The sequence below is a fragment of the Homo sapiens genome, chromosome 13 (genome assembly GCF_000001405.40).
Source record: "Homo sapiens chromosome 13, GRCh38.p14 Primary Assembly".
NCBI classification, from domain to species: Eukaryota; Metazoa; Chordata; class Mammalia; order Primates; family Hominidae; genus Homo; species Homo sapiens.
Window position 1 is genome coordinate 103,350,913 of NC_000013.11, and position 18,662 is coordinate 103,369,574.

The 18,662-nt window shown below is 37.6% G+C and overlaps 1 annotated feature.

Annotated features, from left to right (window-relative positions):
* Positions 277-970: an enhancer, noted in NCBI's record as "OCT4-NANOG-H3K27ac hESC enhancer chr13:104003539-104004232 (GRCh37/hg19 assembly coordinates)". NCBI's record gives its function as "activates a minimal SCP1, AML or CMV promoter by ChIP-STARR-seq in naive H9 embryonic stem cells {active_cell/tissue: H9 hESC(naive)}" and the evidence as "EXISTENCE:reporter gene assay evidence [ECO:0000049][PMID:30033119]".

The following is an 18,662-nucleotide window of genomic DNA, read 5'->3' on the forward strand; positions in this document are numbered from 1 at the left end:
ATATACAGGCAGATCATCTGGGAGGAAGAGATCAGTGTCGAGAGCCGGCACGTTGGGAGCCCGTCTCAGAATGGACAGGGAACACAGGCTTCTGCATTTTAATTTTTCACATGAGGAAGTCACTGCACGGAGAGGTTAACAGAACTACCAGGATCAATGAGGCAGTAGGGGAACCCAGCCTGGAGGGCAGGTCCCCAGGCCCCTCCCCATTAGCTCTTCCTGGCAAATTAACTGCCACCCGCACCACTGGGCTTTATCATTCATTACTTTCCTCAGACTCAGAATAATTTCCATTCCAGTAGTCTAGAGAATGACTGCGTGCTTCTGGAATTTATGGGCATGATCACCGGGGTCGGGAAGGGATCCAGGCACCAGGGTGGTTTGTACTTTCCTTTAGTAGTTCTACAGAATTGTGTCACAAAGAGCCTCCTTCCTAACCTCGCAGCCACTTTGTTATTACAGAGATGCAGCACTTTCTGCTACAGACTTGGGAAGCTGTGGGATTTAATGAGCATGTTTTGCAGTGAGATTTTCCTGCCCTCTCTCAGATGTGGCTGCTCTTGTCATTGTTCTTCTGCACTTAATATTTTCCTTCTTTCCTCAGGGGATACTCAGAATGAAAGAAGAGGGTGACATACTCTCTGGGGTGGAAGTAGAAGGGTATCCCAAGAGCACCCAGCAGGGCACACGGAGATTCCTATGAAACTGACCTGTGGCTGCCTGTGGAGAGTGCATTTCCGTTTCTTTTGCCCTTGATCCCAGGCTCCTGGAATCTGTCTTTATTGCTGCTCTGCTAGCAGGCCAGCTCTGGGCTACCTGCCTCAGTCCCTAAGCCAGTCTGGACGAAGGGTTGGCTTATATGAATAGCCTTTCTTTCTACTTCTTCTACGGCTGTGGGGTTTGAACTTGAGATATGTTATCAAACTGGGAATGGAGTCAATGGTTTACAAGTCATAGCACTGTATACTACCAATAACATAAACATGAATGCTATATCTCCCTTTCTATTTTTATTGAGGCTTAATTTGCACATCATACAAATGATTATTTTTAAGTATACAATTTAGTAGTTTTTAGTACATTTACAAGGTTGCACTACAGTCACCAATCCAGAAAGTTTTTATCACCTGGCAAAGAAGTCCCATAGCCATTGAATGTCACTCCCTGTTCCCCTTCATCCCATTCCCCTGGTAACCACTAATCTGCCTTCTGTCTTTGTGGATTTGCCTATTTTGGGCATTCCATATAGATGGAGTCATACGACGTGTGGCCTCTGCATTTTTTTTATTTTGTATAACATAATGTTTTCAAGGTTCATCCATGTTATAGCATGTGTCAGAATGTCTTTCTGTTTATGGCTGAATCATATTCCATTGTTATTTATATATCACATTTTGTCCATTCATCTGTTGATAGATATTAGCTATTTCTACTTTTTGGCTATTAAGAGTAATGCTGCTGGTCAGGCACAGTGGCTCACACTTGTAATCCCAGCACTTTGGGAGGCCTAGCGGGGTGGATCACCTGAGGTCAGGAGTTCGAGACCAGCCTGGCCAACATGGCGAAACCCTGTATCTACTAAAAATACAAAAAAATTAGCTGGTCATGGTGGTGGGCGCCTGTAATCCCAGCTACTCAGGAGGAGGAAGCAAGAGAATCCCTTGAACCTGGGAGGCAGAGGTTGCAGTGAGCTGAGATCGCGCCACTGTACTCCAGCCTGGGCAACAAGAGTGAAAACTCCATCTGAAAAAAAAAAAAAAAAAGCTGCTACAAATTTTTTTTTTTTGGTACAAGTTTGATGTGATTGTATGTTTTCCATGTTCTTTTCCCTTTTCATTTCTTTTGTGGGCTTAGGTCATAAGGCTATAAGGCTAGTTCTCTACCTTCTTAATTAATTATTTTAGAGATTCATTGTCCTTCGTGGAAAGAATATGGACTTTGGAGGACATATATACTTGGGTACAATTTCTGATATTTTATCTCTCAGCCTCAGTGTCCTCATCTGTAAAATGAGTATTTGAGTATAGCTACTTTATAGAGACAATGTGGCTTAGGTGAGATGTTAATTCTCTATTTAATAAATATAAATTCTCTATTCTTTAGCCTTAGTTTCCACCAGTTTAACCACCCAGAGTTTTAGCTGTCTCTTGCCCAAATATAGTCCAGAGACGAGAGGCTCTACCACTTGCTCTGCCAAGAAAATTGTCCCGTCTGCATGGGATTCCCTTAGTTGACCTCCCTTATTAATGATGGTCTAAGGTATTTTGTGAATTGAATTCCATAAGGGCTGTTGTTGTGTGAATGAAGCCTGATTCTGACAGTGATGTGTCCTTTGTGTCGCAGGCACCCATCTGTCCCTCTGAAGCCAGCCCTGCAGCAGGGAACATTTCTCTAGGCCTGGACTCTATAGATACTTTGCTTATTCTCTGTCCTTTTTCTAACAACATGGTTCTGACTAGAGTAATCTACGGCAATAAAAGAAAGAAATTAACATAAATAGAAAAGGATTTTGTGGAGGGGGCCAGAATGATACTGAGTGCTCTGCAAATATGTCACATTTAATCCTTACCACAGCCCTGTACGATAGGTATCCTTTAGTCCAGATGGGAAGATTGAGGCTCAGGGAGGCCAATTTGGTGAAGAGCATATAGGTAGCAAGTGACAAATTTGGTGTCTGATCTTAGATAAGTGTGATGCAAAAGCTCCTGTTATTCCAGGACTACCACCAGCTCCAGACCTGTGAAGAACGTCTCATTTTATGATCATGCTACATAAGATGTGATGGTTTCATCCATTTTTTTCTAGGTTATCCTGTGGCTAATGGACAGTTGCCAAACCTCAGTGCTTTATGGCAACAAAAGTTTATTCTCACTCATATTAATTGTTGATATACATATACTCTTCATGTCATATTTATTTTGGGTTGATGCTGGAGGAATAGAGCAAAGACCGGACAATACAGTGGCTCTTAAAGCTTCTTACAGTAAAACACGTCACTTCTGTTCACATTCCATTGGCCACAGCTGGTCACATGGCCAAACCTTAGTAAGTATTATATGACTTATATTCATCCCATAGGGATAGTCCCTGGGGTGGGAAATGTTAGAAAATACAGTGAATACTTTAAACAAATAATCTACCACATGTGATTTCTGCATTACAATGCACGCGGTAGGGTTTGCGACACCATGCTTTCCTGGACTTCCTCATGTTTTGGTGGCTCCTCTGTATAAGTTTCTCTTACTGGCTCTTTCTCTTTCTCTAACTGATGTCTAAACACAAGAGAGTCCTATAATGCATTTCAGGCACTCCTTCTCTACGCTCCAACTCTTGATGACCTCATCTGGTATGGCTTTAATTACCATCAACATGCTGATGACTGTCTAATTTATCTTTCAAATCCTGACCTCTCTGGGGTCCAGCTGTCTTATGTTATCTCCACTTGAAATTCTAATATGCAGCTCAAATGTAATATGTCCAAAATTGAACTTCTGATTCGTATCCATCCCTACCCCAGCTGGCAATCTTCCCTGTTGTAGTAAATGGTACCAGCCACCACCCAGTGACTCAAAGGAGAAGTCTAGGCTCCCTCCCTTTTCCTTACTCCTACCTCAAATCCATCAACCACACATGTTATTTATATCTTTCAGATAATTCCTCAAAATGTCCATGTCCTCTGACTATAAATGCCAACACACTAACGCAAGCCTCTCTCATTTCTCACCTTGATTACTGCAGTAGTTAACTGACTTCTATACTTTTCTTTTCTCACTATAACTCATGTTTCACATAGTAGTCAGAAAGATCTTACAAAAGTACAAATGAGGTTAAGCCTTTTCCTTTGCTAAAAACCTTCTGAAGAATTAACATTGTATTTAGAAAAAAAGGTCCAAGGTCCAGGTCATAGACTGCAAGGCCCTAAATGATCTGGCAATTGGGTTCAAGAGTATCCCCCCAAAAATTTATGTCTACTGGCCGGGGGTGGTGGCTCACGCCTGTAATCCCAGCACTTTGGGAGGCCGAGGCGGGCGGATCACGAGGTCAGGAGATGGAGATCATCCTGGCTAACATGGTGAAACCCCGTCTCTACTAAAAATACAAAAAATTAGCTGGGCGTGGTGGCAGGCACCTGTAGTCCCAGCTACTCCTGAGGCTGAGGCAGGAGAATGGCGTGAACCTGGGAGGTGGGGCTTGCAGTGAGACAAGATTGTGCCACTGCACTCCAGCCGGGGCGACACAGCGAGACTCCGTCTCAAAAAAAATTAAAAAAATAAAAAATTAGGTCTACCTGGAAACTCAGAACATGACCCTATTTGGAAATAGAGTCCTTTAAGATGTCATTCGTTGTGATGAGGTCATACTGGATTAGCATTAGCCCTAAATCCAATGTGATGGGTGTCCTTAAGAAGAGAAAAGACACAAAGATACTGAGAAGATACACAGGGAAGAAAGCCATGTGAAGATGGAGGCAGAGGTCAGAGTGATGCTGCTACAAAATAAGAAACACCAAAAAATGTTGCCAACCACCAGCAGCTACAAGAGAGGTATAGAGACCAGACTCTCCCTCAGAGCCTCTGGAAGGAACCAACTCTACTAACGCCTCCTAAACTGTGAGCTAAAAAATGTCTGTTGTTTTAGGCCTTGCAGTTTGTATTAATTCATAATGGCAGCCCAAGGAAGCTAACACAGCTGCCTGCTGTCCTTGCCTCATCCCACCCCTGCACTCATGCCGTGATGCCACCCTGGCCTCCTTTTCATTCCAAAGCTTAGTCTCATCTTGAGGCCTTTGAACTTGCTCTCCTCATTATGTCTGAAAGCTTTCCAGGACTTCCTCCTTTATATCCGTATGTTTCTGCTCCACTACTTAACCTCTGATATTGGTTCTACATGTTCACAGTAAGTCCCTGGTTTGGGTATATGTAGAAAGTGTTTGTTGCATTTACTGTTGTCACCCATTTCTATACTTAAGGAAGTCAAAGAGAGGTGTGTATATTTGAAGCATCTTTAAACAGTAAGATTAAGTTGGTTCCAACTGTGGGTCAGATAAGATGGAGGATTTGTGGGTATAGGGAGTATGCAGCCCACAAATTTCCCCAGGATCCGTTTTCTTGCCTTTAAAAACCAATGCGCCAGGCACAGTGGCTCACGCCTGGAATCCAAGCACTTTGGGAGGCTGAGGTGGTTGAATCACTCGAGGTCAGGGGTTCAAGACCAGTCTGACCAACATGGTGAAACCCCGTCTCTACAAAAATACAAAAGATTAACTGGGCGTGGTGGCACGTGCCTGTAATCCCAGCTACTCTGGAGGCTGAGGCAGAAGAATCGCTTGAACCTTGGGGCGGATGTTGCAGTGAGCCAAGATCATGCCATTGCACTCTAGACTGGGTGAGAGAGCAAGACTCCATCCCCAAAACAAAAAAAACAAAAAACAAAAACAAGAAAAACCAGTGGCAGCAAATACCCTCCCACTGTGGTAATGATGGAGAGATAAAGAGCTTCCATACAATGTCCCCACAGAGGGGATTTCCCATGTGAAGGGCGCCAGCACTTCCAGAGAGCATACATAGGAAGACATTTTGTAAGTAATAAAACAGGTTGCACAGGATTTCTAAACTCTGAAGAATTATTGGTGGAGAATGTAATGATTCTCTAATTTGGATTAAAAGTTCAGATTCGAGGATATTGCAGTTCCAGAGCAGAGGTCACAGGGCTTCAAGATGAGCTTGTAAACACTGGTCACTAATTATGCGGAACTCTGATAAGGAATAAAGAATATCCGCATGGTTCTGAATATGGGTTCTCCCTCCACCACACTGTAACATTTACTAGTTCCCAGTAATAAAAAATTGGAAATGAGCATATAACCAAGCTGTATATTATTTGTAGTTTGTGATGCATATTTGTGTGATTAGGATTAACTAATTCAGCAAACTATAGTTCTCATTTTATAGGTTTCTGTGGTTATTCTTTTGGAATACTTTGTAAATGCTTAAAGAACTTCTTCAAGTAGTATGTAGGTAAATATCAAAACTAAGTTACCCCTGATTATTATTATTATTTTTAGAGATAGGATCTGGCTCTATCACCCAGGCTGGAATGCAGTGGTGTGATCATGGCTCACTGCAGCCTCAAACTCCTGGGCTCAAGCAATTATCCTGCCTCAGTCTCCCTAGTATCTGATTACAGGTGCACTGCCATGTCCAACCAATTTTTAAATAATTTTTTAGAGACAGGGTTTTACTATGTTGCAAGCTTAGTATCTGGTGTCCCCTTCAGTGGTAAAGAAGGAATTCTAACATAACCTGTCTATCCATTTTAGGAATAAAAATTAACCTCTTTTTGGTGGATTCACAAATGTTTGTATGTCTCACGTACCCACAACCTCTCCCAACAATGGCTCACCACAGCAATGACTTACTCTGGAAGATTTTCTCTGGCTACATGGAAGCACTCTGGCTCTGTGACTTCAACACAGTAGCAATTCTTGCTCAGGGCTCCACCTACCTGTTGGACATGCATTTCAGAACTGAATGGGCCAATGTGCTCCAGCTCAGTAATGTTTTCTGTTCCCCCAGACTGGGAGTCATGAATTCAGTTTCTTTTATTTATTTATTTATTTATTTTTTTTGAGACGGAGTCTCGCTCTGTCGCCCAGGCTGGACAGTGCAGTGGCGGGATCTCGGCTCACTGCAAGCTCCGCCTCCCGGGTTCACGCCATTCTCCTGCCTCAGCCTCCCAAGTAGCTGGGACTACAGGCGCCCGCCACTACGCCCGGCTAATTTTTTGTATTTTTAGTAGAGACGGGGTTTCACCGTTTTAGCCGGGATGGTCTCGATCTCCTGACCTCGTGATCCGCCCGCCTCGGCCTCCCAAAGTGCTGGGATTACAGGCGTGAGCCACCGCGCCCGGCCCAGTTTCTTAATGATAAGGCTCGGCACCCTGGTCATGTTTGTGTTCATAACAGAATCGTTCATTTACACTTTCATAAATGTGCATTCACTCTTCTTATTTAGTTTGTTCCCCTCAACAACTGGGTATGGACTTTACCTTCTTTAGCTAATCTAGAACCAGATGTGGCTTAGGACTGAGCTGGTACTGGAAACTAAGCACCTTGGACTCAGGTTGCTCCCAAATTGGTCCTGAATCTGGAGAATGGGTAGAATATCAGACAACCTGTGCTCTAATAGACTGGCAACTGATTTGTTCATACCTACTGCAAACTTCATTCTGGGGAGAGCTGACTATCTTAATACAACCCAGTAGATTTAGATAAAATCTTATGGCCATTTTTAAGACCAGGCATCTTGGGCATGGAAATGTTAAGAAATAAGTTAAGGGTACATAGACCTAGTAAATGGTAGAACGAGGCCCAATGGAAGAGGGTAGCACCCATCAGGTGGAACTGTATATACATATCCAGGCCCCCTTTTCCAGCTGCCAAGAACCATGGGTCCAGTGTTGGCAAGTACCCAATGTATTTACTGTTACCTTTAAATTTACAGGCCGTGAAATATCTGTGAGGAGCCAAGATAAAAGGGAAGTTCTTATCACCAACATCTCAGCAGGTTGTTAACAGCCAAAGTCCACAGATAAGAACAATACAAATGAAAGAAAGAAAAACCTAGAATTTTAAAGATAAAAAGTGGTTTGATACGACCAGGTGTAATAACAAATTCTTTGTGAAAAATAATGTTTTACCATATTTTAAAACTGGAATATGTAAAAATGCAGAATTATTTTTATTATAAATCTGCTACCTCTAGGAGTCCCCTTTAGGAAACCACGTAGTGAGCTTCCTCCTGGGTGTGCAATAGATTTGCTCCACTATGAAACTGTATTCACCATTCTGGTATAGATGGCAGCTCCTCAGGCATCAACCCTCAGGAGGGCAAATTTTCTTTGCTTTCTGTTTCTACGTTCTGTTTTCCTTACCAACTCTCTCGCTATTTTTTTTCTGATTCCTGCTTAAAGAGTAAGTTAAAGCAAACTTAAATCATGTAGCTCAATTTAAAATAAGCAATGTTATATCCTCAAAAGCTTTTAAAGAAAAATTTCTGCCTTTGAGAAATACGAAACTAAAGGCCCCCTTTTATTATTATAATTTCAGTCCTTTCATTTGTTTTGTCTCTTTGCAGTTGTTACTCGAGATTTTAAATATGTCTGTGTGGAACCAATACTTTTAATTTTTAAAGATAAGCACAAAAATGTTACATTTGATTGACTTGTGAGTTGAGTTGTCCTTCTTAAGCCACAGACATCTTAAAATTCCTTTATGCCTAACAATTCTAAATGCTCAGAGTAGATCACAAGCATTGACATAAAGATACAAGTAAATTTCTATGCATGTGTATAAATTCATTTTAAGGTTCTATATGTTTCTCCTTTTCAGGATAATTTGAGGATCATTTTCTGCTATTTTTCTAGAATATTTAAACCCAGATCCAGAATGTAAAATAAGAATTTATTTTCTCTTTATTTTACGCCATATGCAAAAATCAACTCAAAATGGATTAAAGGCAAATGTAACACCCGAAAGTGTGAAACCCCTAGAAGAAAACACAGGAGGAAAGGAAGCTTTAGGACATTGTTGCTGGTGATGATTTCTTGTATAACAACAGAACCACAGGGAACAAAAGCAAAATGAATAAGTGGGTCTACATCTAACTAAAACGCTTCTGCACAGCCAAAAAACAAATCAACAGAATGAAAAGGAAACCTCAATGGGCGATAATATTTGAGAACCATATATCTGCTAAGGGGTTAGTATCCAAAATACATAAGGAACTCAGTTAAATAGCAAAAAACCAAAAAACCTAATTTAAAAATGAACAATGGACTTAAATAGACATTTTTCCAAAGAAGACATACAAATAGCCAACAGGTATATGAATAAATGCTCAACATCGCTAATAATCAGGAAAATGCAAATTAAAACCACAATGCAATATCAGCTCACATTTGTTAGAATGACTATTATCAACACAAAAATAACAAGTGTTGGCCTGAATGTGGAGAAAAGGGAACCCTTGCATGTTGTTAGTAGGAATGTATATTAGTCCACTTATTATGGAAAATAGGATGGAGTTCCCTCAAAAAATTAAAAATAGAACTACCCAATGATCCAGCAATCCCACTACTGGATCTATATCCAAAAGAATTAAAATCAGGATCTCAGAGAAATATCTGCACTCCTATATTCCTTGCAGCATTATTCACAAGAGCCAAGATATGGAACCTACCTAAATGGCATTTAATAGATGAATGGATAAAGAAAAAGTGGTGTATTTATGCAATGGAATACTATTCATCCTTTAAAAAGGATATCCTGTCATATGCAACAAGATAGATGAACTTGGAGACATTATGTTAAGTGAAATAAGCCAGGAACAGAAAGAAAAATAATACCACCGGATCTCACTTATATGTAGAATCTAAAATAGTTGAACTCATAAAGCAGAGAGTAGAATGGTGGTTGCCAGGGCTGGTAAGGAAGGAAATGAGAGTTGTAGTTCAATGGGTATAAAATTCTAGTTATGAAAAATGAATAGGTTTTAGAGATCTGCTGTACAACATAATGTCTATAGTTAATAATGCCTTATTGTGCATTTCAAATTGTTGAGGGTAGATCTTATGTTAAGTGTTCTTAACACCCACACAGAAACACTCACACACTTACAAAGGGGCAAGAGGGAACTGTTGGAAGTAATAGGTACGATTTTTCCTTTGGCCAACATATTCCCAACCTCTCCTACCCCTAGGCCCTGGTAACTACCATTTCTACACTCTGCTTCTATGAATTCAACTATTTTAGATTCCACATAGAAGTGAGACCATATGGTGTTTGTCTTTCTGTGCCTGGCTTATTTCACTTAACACAATGTCCCCAGGTTGATATGTGTTGTTGCATATGGCAGAATATCCTTTTTATTTAAGGATGAATAGCATTCAATTGTATACATGCAACACATTAAAAAAATTATCTGCCAATGTCTATTCAAGAGGTTTCCATGTCTTGGCTATTGTGAATAGTGCTACAATGAACACAGAAGTGCAGATGTCTTTTTGAGATCCTGATTTCAATTATTTTTGATATAGATCCAGCAGTGGGACTCCTGGATTATGTGGTAGTTCTATTTTTAATTTTTTTCAGAAACCTCCATACTGTTTTCCTTAATGGCTATACAAACTTACATTCCACCAACAGTGTATAAGAGTTTCCTTTTCTCTGCATCCTTGCCAGCATCTATTATTTTTTGTCTTTTTGATAATAGCCATTCTAACTGGAATGAAATGATACCTCATTTGTGGTTTTGATTTGCATTTCCCTAATGATTAGTGATATTAAGCATTTTTTCCTATACCTGTTGGCCATTTGTATGTTTTCTTCTGATAAACATCTATTCAGGAACTTCCTATTTTTACATTGGGTTTCTTTTTTTCTCACTATTGAGTTGTTTGAGTTTCTTTTATATTTTGAATATTAACCTCTCATCAGACGTATGGTTTGTAAATATTTTCTCCCATTCCATAAGTTGTCTCTTCAGCTCTTCACCCTTGATTGCTTTTTAAATTTTGTTTTGTTTATTGCTATGCAGAAGCTTTTCAGTTTGATGTAATTCTGTTTATTTCATATGTTTTGCCTGTGCTTTTGGAGTCATATTCAAAAATCATTGCCCAGACCAATGTCGTGTAGAATTTTCCTGTAGGTTTTATTTTAGTCATTTTATACTTTCAGCTCTTAGATTTAGGCTTTAATATATTTTGAGTTGATTTTTGTATATGATGTGAGATAAAGGTCTAATTTCATCCTTCTGCAGGTGGATATTCAGTTGTTTCAACACCATTTGTTGAAGAATGTCCTTTTCCTATAGAGTAGTCTTGGCACCTTTGTCAAAAATCAATTGATCATAAATTTATGGATTTATTTCTGGACTATTTATTCTATTCCATTGGCCCACGTTATGTTTTTATGCCAATACTATGCTGTTTGGGTTACTATAGCTTTTTAGTATATTTTGAAGTTAAGTACTGTGATGTGTCTAGCTTTGATCTTTTTGCTCAAGATTGCTTTGAATATTCAGGATGTTTTGTGGTTCCATACAAGTTTTAGAATTGTTTTCTCTATTTCTGTGAAAAATGTCACTTGAATTTTGATAGAGATTGCATTGAATCTCTACATCACTTTGGCTAGTATGAAAATTTTCACAATATTCTTGTAATTCATGAACATGAGATATATTTACATTTATTTTTGTATTCTTCAATTTCTTTCATCTATGTTTTATAGTTTTTAGTGTACAGATTTTTCACCTTCTTGGTTGAATTTATTCCTAAGTATTTTTTTTGTAATTCTTAAATGTAGTTTTCTTGATTTCTTTTTCAAATAGTTTATTGTTAGTGTATACAAACTATTGATTTTTATATGTTGATTTTGTATCTTGCCACCTCACTGAATTTGTTTATTAGTCTTAATAGTTTTTTGGTGATGTTTTTAGGGTTTTCTATATGTAAGATGATGTTGTCTCCAAACGGGCGATTCGTTAACTTCTTCCTTTCCAATTTGGATGACATTTATATCTTTCTCTTGTTTAATTGTTGTGGCTACAATATCTAGTACCACATTAAATAGAAGACAAGTAGCAAGAGTGGACATTAGAATATTTATTTTTACCTTGATTGTAGTGATGGTTTTAAGTGTATATGCATATGTTCAAACCCATCAAATCTTATAAATTAAATACGTAGTTTTTGTGTATCAGTTATATTTAATAAAACTGCTGCAAAAAGAATTTGTTATTCATCAAGAACTTTACTACAAGAAGGAAGAAAAGTGGCTAAGGAACAACTACACCATCTTACTGAACACACTGACGTTATGGGATTCCTTTTATAAGGATAGTCTTAAAATTACAGAATTACTTTATACCTAAACTCAAACATAGGCTCTTCTGAGAATTGCCTTTAGTCAGCAGGACCTTAAGATACTCAGGTAGAGAGATGAGACCTTAAAGTTTTGATGGTGGAGGAGGGCAGGCCTTTGTGATCTGTAGTTAGCAAATATTATTGGGGCTAATGACATATAATTGAAGGGTGTCAGAGTATCTATTTGGACAACAATTAAAGTCCTGAGTATCCACCTGGACAACAATTAAAGACCTATCATTTTCTGAAGGCTTTTACTTTCTTCCTTTTAAATATCAACATGTAATATAAAGGGGCTGATTTCTTCATCACTATACATGGCTAAGTCTGTGAGAAGGGAAGGGAAATAATAACTTCATTTTAATATTATCTGGCTTAATAATGATTATATTTCCCTTTCTCCTTATGACTAATGCCCTTAATGTAATATTAAAGCATTATTTGAGTAGCAAAGCTAGCAGATGATCATAGTAATGAGACTGATAATGATGATGATTTTGATGATGATGACTATAAAGGTATTTTAATTTTGCTGTGGACTCTCAAATAATTGGTTTGGGTTTGAGGACTGTAAGGAGAATACCTAAAAGAAAAACTAGTTAAGCCATGTGAGTAGGTTTATCTGAGGACCCTGACAGACATTGTCATTATCAATGTGTAGCATTAAACCACTGATACAAAAGAGGGAATCATATATTCTGATGTCAAAGTGGTGACTGTTCCCATACCATGGTTATTCCTTAATCACATAGAAAGTTGTATTAGTTCATTTTCATACTGCTATAAAGAGCTTCCTGAGACTGGGTAGTTTACAAAAAAATGAGGTTTAATTGACTCACAGTTCCACATGGCAGAGGAGGCCTCAGAAAACTTAGAATCCTGGTGGAAGGGGAAGCAGGCACATCTTACATGGTGGCAGGTGAGAAAGAGAGCATGTGTGAGCGCAGGAGAAACTACCTTCTATGAACCCGTCAGATCTCATGAGAATTCACTCACTATCACAAGAGCATAATGGGAAAACACTGCCATAATCCAATCACTTCCTTCCCTTGACATGGGGGGATTACAATTGGAGGTGAGATTTGGATGAGGACACAGAGCAATACCATATCAAAGGTCATGTAAGCATAACTCTCTAGTTCCTCATTTTGTCTTCATGACTTTGTCCTTTTTCTTCTGCCCTTTTATTTCTCTAAATTTGTACAGTGATTTTCAAATACCTTTAATATATGTAATTCCATGTGATCTCAACCACTCAGCGCATTTGGTCAAGTTCACACAGTTGTAACTCAAATTGTGATTCAAATACAGAATTATTTCCACTTTACCATAGTGTACTTCTCAATTTTGGATTGAGTAAGCTACATATTTTACTTTTGTTTAAGTCTTGGTTAGGAAGTTACTTAAAATGCCTAATATCTAATTTGTTGTTCTTTATTTCTGTACAATGGTACTAGTCTAGACTTCTGTCTGTGCATACATGAACACTTATTAAATTGAGATATAGTGTTTTTGGTTGTAACTGAATCTCTTTGCTTTAATGTATATATTTCTGAGGTGCATCTGCTGTAAATTAAGTGATACATTCATAAGAATTAAGAAAAGTAAAAATCATTTCCCCTTAAGAAATTAAAATATTACCAGCTGAACTTTTTGACCTATCCATAAACCAACTTTACCCTCATGTATTCTACTTCTCAGTTTACAAACACTCTAGAGATTGTAGCCCTCCCAGATCAGTCCTAACTGGGGGTCCCAAGGGTCTTTTTGGACACCTCATGCTTTGGAAACATGATTCATGTTGCTAAATTTCAAATTGTTATTTCATCATGTGTCTCACAAAATATTACCTTATCCCGTGACTCACTATTGTCAGTTGGAGGTTACCTCAGATTTAAATTATTTTCATGCAGGCAAGGCTTTTGCTTTCATAATTTTTCTCAACTTAAGCAGCTTAGAAAGGTCCAGATGGAAATGAACATATTGAACACTTAAAAAGAAATGTTTGTATTGTTTATGCAGGAAGTAAGTCTCATTTCTTAATACACAGAGAAGGTTGTTTCCCTTTTTATTAGAAGTTCCAAGTGAAATAAAATCTTGGACATCTGCATTTCCCTGCAATAGTTAAGCTTATGCAGCAGATACTTTGGTTTTAATTATTTATGGATGAGCCATGTGAAATGCCTGCCAAAGGTAGCAAAGGGAAAATAATGGCTGGTATTACACAACTGACCTTGAATCCAGCCCTGATTGAAATTAATTACCCAAAGTTTGAAAATCTCAGCTTCTTATATTGTTGGTAATGTCCTTCTCTGGTGATAATGAATAGCACCACTGTCTTACCATGAGCTTTACTTATCACAAGTATTTCTTTCACAGTATTTGATATATCTGATCTTTGCAGAGAAAACAGTATTAATTGACTTGTTTTTTTTTTTCTAATTCCTGCATACTGTGTTACTCTAATATTCATCCCTTGGCATTCCATTAAATCCAGATGTTATTTTATAGAATGATTGTTTATAAAAACTGCCTCAATTTCGGACTGACCTCTAGAATATTTTGCCACACAGAAGGTACTAACAAATTATTTCACATCTTTTCTTTGTATTTCCATGTTGTCAGTCTAGGGTGCATTAGATGTGAACAACTGGATGGGGAAAATTATTGTTTCTGTTAATTCTAATTAGCTGTCAGTCTTCCAAGGAAAGGGTGTTTTGGTCTGAATGGGAGTGGTGTTAACTCATGAGTGTATAATCCCATCTTTAGAAAACATTTGCTCTGAAGGCACAGTAGCTTTTCCTATTATTTTAAAAGGCTGATTTAGTTTTTATGTACTTGAATTTCAACAAAGATGTTGCCTCCAGCATTCCAGGTGCGGTTCCCCCTCAGTCTCTGGATGGGTGCATACTTTGGATGGTCATATCGTTGGTAGCTGGGGGCAAAGGTTCTGAGAGAGGAAACCTCACTGACAGAAAAATGAAAAGCACCACATTGGATTGCTGAGAAAATTCATTTACAATAAACAGTAATTAAACACGGATTATTAGGGTGGCACATTTACGATGTGCACGTAGAAGTTGTGTCAACACCTTATAAAGTCCAGAAAGTAATTCAGCTGAAACATTTGCTCTGGGCTGAAGAAAAAGGTTCTATTCTAAGGAAGAAGTAGGTTTGTTGTTTGTTGTACTGAAAAACTCTTTGTAATAGTCCTTTTGGTTTTAACCATTTAACACACCTTTCCCAGGGTTTAATGTCATATAGTGCTATGAAGTCTAAGAGATTATTCCTCATTATTGAGCCTTTCTCATAACTGATTTTATTCTCCTTCTAAAGCCATCATTTGAAATACACATGGTAACTTAAGTTTTGTTTTCTGAATACAAGTCTCAGCAATATGACAGCTCTTAAAAACCAACGTTGGGAAGGTTGGCTCTCCCTTGGTCATTGTCACCGACCTCTGCTGGTTGCTTCATCCTTACAATCTACTGGCCTCATCTGTCACTTGGGATGGGTCACCTCAGCCTCAGGCAAAAGTAATTAGGTTTCCCCTGATGCTCAGTGTCTACTCAACCATGCCCTTTATGTTCCTTAATAACCTTGTTGAAACTAAACTCTTTCATATTTTACCTTCTCAGAGTTGACTTGATGAATGAGTGCCCTCTAATGTATTAATGGATAGGAAGTAGGAAGACAGCCTCCTTTTCAATATATCAATATTTATTTGGCCTTCTGAAAGAACTTCTGCTTACAAAATAGATCTCTAATAGCAAGTTTCAACAAGGAAAGGAAAGAAAACCAGCACAATGATTGTTGGGTAGGGAGTGGTGGGAGGGTAGTGTCAGACAGGGAGTAGTTGGAGGGTAGTGTCAGATTAGCCTTGTTTGCCTCTTTCAGATTATGTTCTCTTTTTGGACGTTTTATATAAGTTACACATTACACTTTGTGTGAATGGTATAAGATTTCACTTAAAATGACTTCAAAAAAAAGTAAGTGGAAGTTAGAACGTCATAAGAGAGAGGACTATATCTGCCTATAAAAGTATCAACACCAATTTCTAGAATGTAATTTAGAACCTATAAAAATATTTTCCTCCTTTATTGTTCTAATATCACCCAGTTAAAGGAACTAATAACTATGTATAGCCAAAGATCTGTCTAATTCAGATTTACTATGTAAATAAGTACGATTGATATTTTATTTAACTTAATAAAATTGATTGGGAATATAAAGGTGATTAAGACAGCAAATTTGTCTTCAAAAAGGTATTTAGATAGTAAAACCTACTACTACTAGATTTATTATTCAAAAACCCATATTACGTCCTATTAAGTAAATCAGATTTAAGTAGCCGTAGGTATAAATAACAAGAACATTCATCTTAAAGAAATATCCTATGCACAAGTAATCCATGATGATTGTTGGAACTCTCAGTTCTCTGTGGTCTTGCCTTGATTTGAAAAATGAGCCACATTTGTTTTAAGTTTAAATTGGAGTGAATTATCATGTATATGGGCCATTTTTTAAGAGAGAGAATTCCAGAAGATAGAAAAAGCTGACACTTGAAGAGAGAGAGAGATATGATAAGTCTCTCCCTACTTCTGTCTCCCAAACAGGACATTAATGTTTAAAAGTTCTGTGGAATAGCTTGTTAGTACAGGGCGGGGCAGTGATATGCCTGAACTGTGGGTGAGGGGTTGGGGGATAGAGAAATCTCAACTGGCAAATTTAGAGAGGATGAGGATGAAGATTTATATTTTCTCTGATTTTTATGGAAAGAGAAAACAAGTTTTTGCTGTATAGAACATTGATGAGGAAATGAATAGACTCTCAGTAACAGAGGCTCCCCCAGGAAAAAGATGTAGGGTAAATGACAAATGCAGACACCTGAGGAAAGCGGTGCACAAATAGCTCAAGTCCGATGACATTTGATAGTGGAGAGGTTGGCCCAGGCAGCTTCAGAGGCCCCATGGGCTTAAATTGGAGGATTCTCTGCTTTTTGTCTTTTTTCAAATAATTTAAAATAATATTTATGGGCCATTCAACAATGTTATGAGGCTCTGCAAATTCATGTTGAAGATCAAAATTTTCTAATTCATTTTCTAATATTTAAATTTTTCTTCCAGAAATCTTTCTAATTGAATAGCTCTGTGATGCCCAGAAAAATAAATTTGCTATGATTCTTAGCTGGAGTCTAGACAAAGATAAACAGGGTTCTGACATCATTTCTTGTCAGCTTTCATGTAAATAAAATTAGCATTTCTCCTGATGGGGGCATCTTCAAACCAAGGGTTACATGTGTGGATTGCTTGTTCATGAGAATGTAAATCATAGGGTAGCATGGTGGAAATTGCCTGAATATGGTAGTCAGACAGATCTCAGTTGAAATTCAAGTTCAATAAGTTACTAATTGTGTAACTTTCATAAATTGCCACAAGAGATATGTTTGTGATATTTCCATTCCATTTTTCTTTGGCAAACTAAGAATAACTGCATGATTTCCTTCTCTATGACACTAGATTGGCTTCTTCTTCAATTTACTTGAGCCAATGTTTAAGTAAACTTTTTGCCTGGAAAAATTGCAGCCAGCAAACTAATTCAGTTACTGTTCAGAATAAATATACAGGTAAATTCTACTATATCAATTTCACAATTTATCAGAACACCCAAAGGGATTAACCAGGATTGCTCCTGAATATATTCCATTGCTTCCAAAACTCATAGTCATTGAGTTTATTTCTTCAGGAAACAAAGCCAGTGGGTGAAGAGAACAAAGAATAAAATTTTATTTACATACAAATAATTTTTGCCTTTACTAACAATCTTATATCGCTAAGAATACACCTTGGTATAACTTGTATTCCTTATTACATCATTCATTATGCTTGGAGAAATTTTACTGCGTACTGCTGGGTTATTCTTTGTTCTTTTCTACATTCATTTGGTTTCTGTGCTTAAAAGTTTTCTGAATAATACATCAAGGAAGAAGTATATATTAAATAAAGGGAAAACAGCAAAATAATATAAAATACATATTTTTAGTGACATTATTTTATGCATCATAAATAATATATATTTGGTATTAGTGTTAAAGTGCAAAAGAAGGAAGAGTATTAGAAACTTATGACTGAAAATATAAATTTCCTAGTATGAAACTATTGTCTATAGGCTAAGATTTCTCAAATGACAAACACAATAAGGAGCTAAAACTATACAAAAATTGCAAAATTCGGTAGTTTTAGAGCATAGGTTAAACAGAGAATAAATAATATTCATGTGGCTTCCATTCATAATGAAGAGCTCATCTATGTGTGTTTATGAGCGTGAGAACGAAAATCCAGTTAACCATACGGTTCCTTATTCAAATTGAACCACATTGCTCTTTTGAATGGTTATTTTAATGCATCAGCTTTCATGAATTCTGTTCAGAGTAGGACATCAAATACATAGCTAACTCTTCCCCTTGTAAGTTCATCAGAAGATCCATCAATAGCAAACACAATGAAAGGGTTACTAGTATTTTGACTAGAGGACAATATAAATCTTTTAATGGCAAACTCTTTAGGATTTAAATTGATATGAAAAGTTTTCTATGTATCAAGCAACAGAGACCTGTGCAGGTTAAAATATCACAGCCTTCCAGTCATGTCAATCTATATGTCAAAATGTCTTCTTGGTGGATTATAGATTATATCCCACATCTGGAGCTGTTGTGGTAATAAGAATACTGTTACAGCATG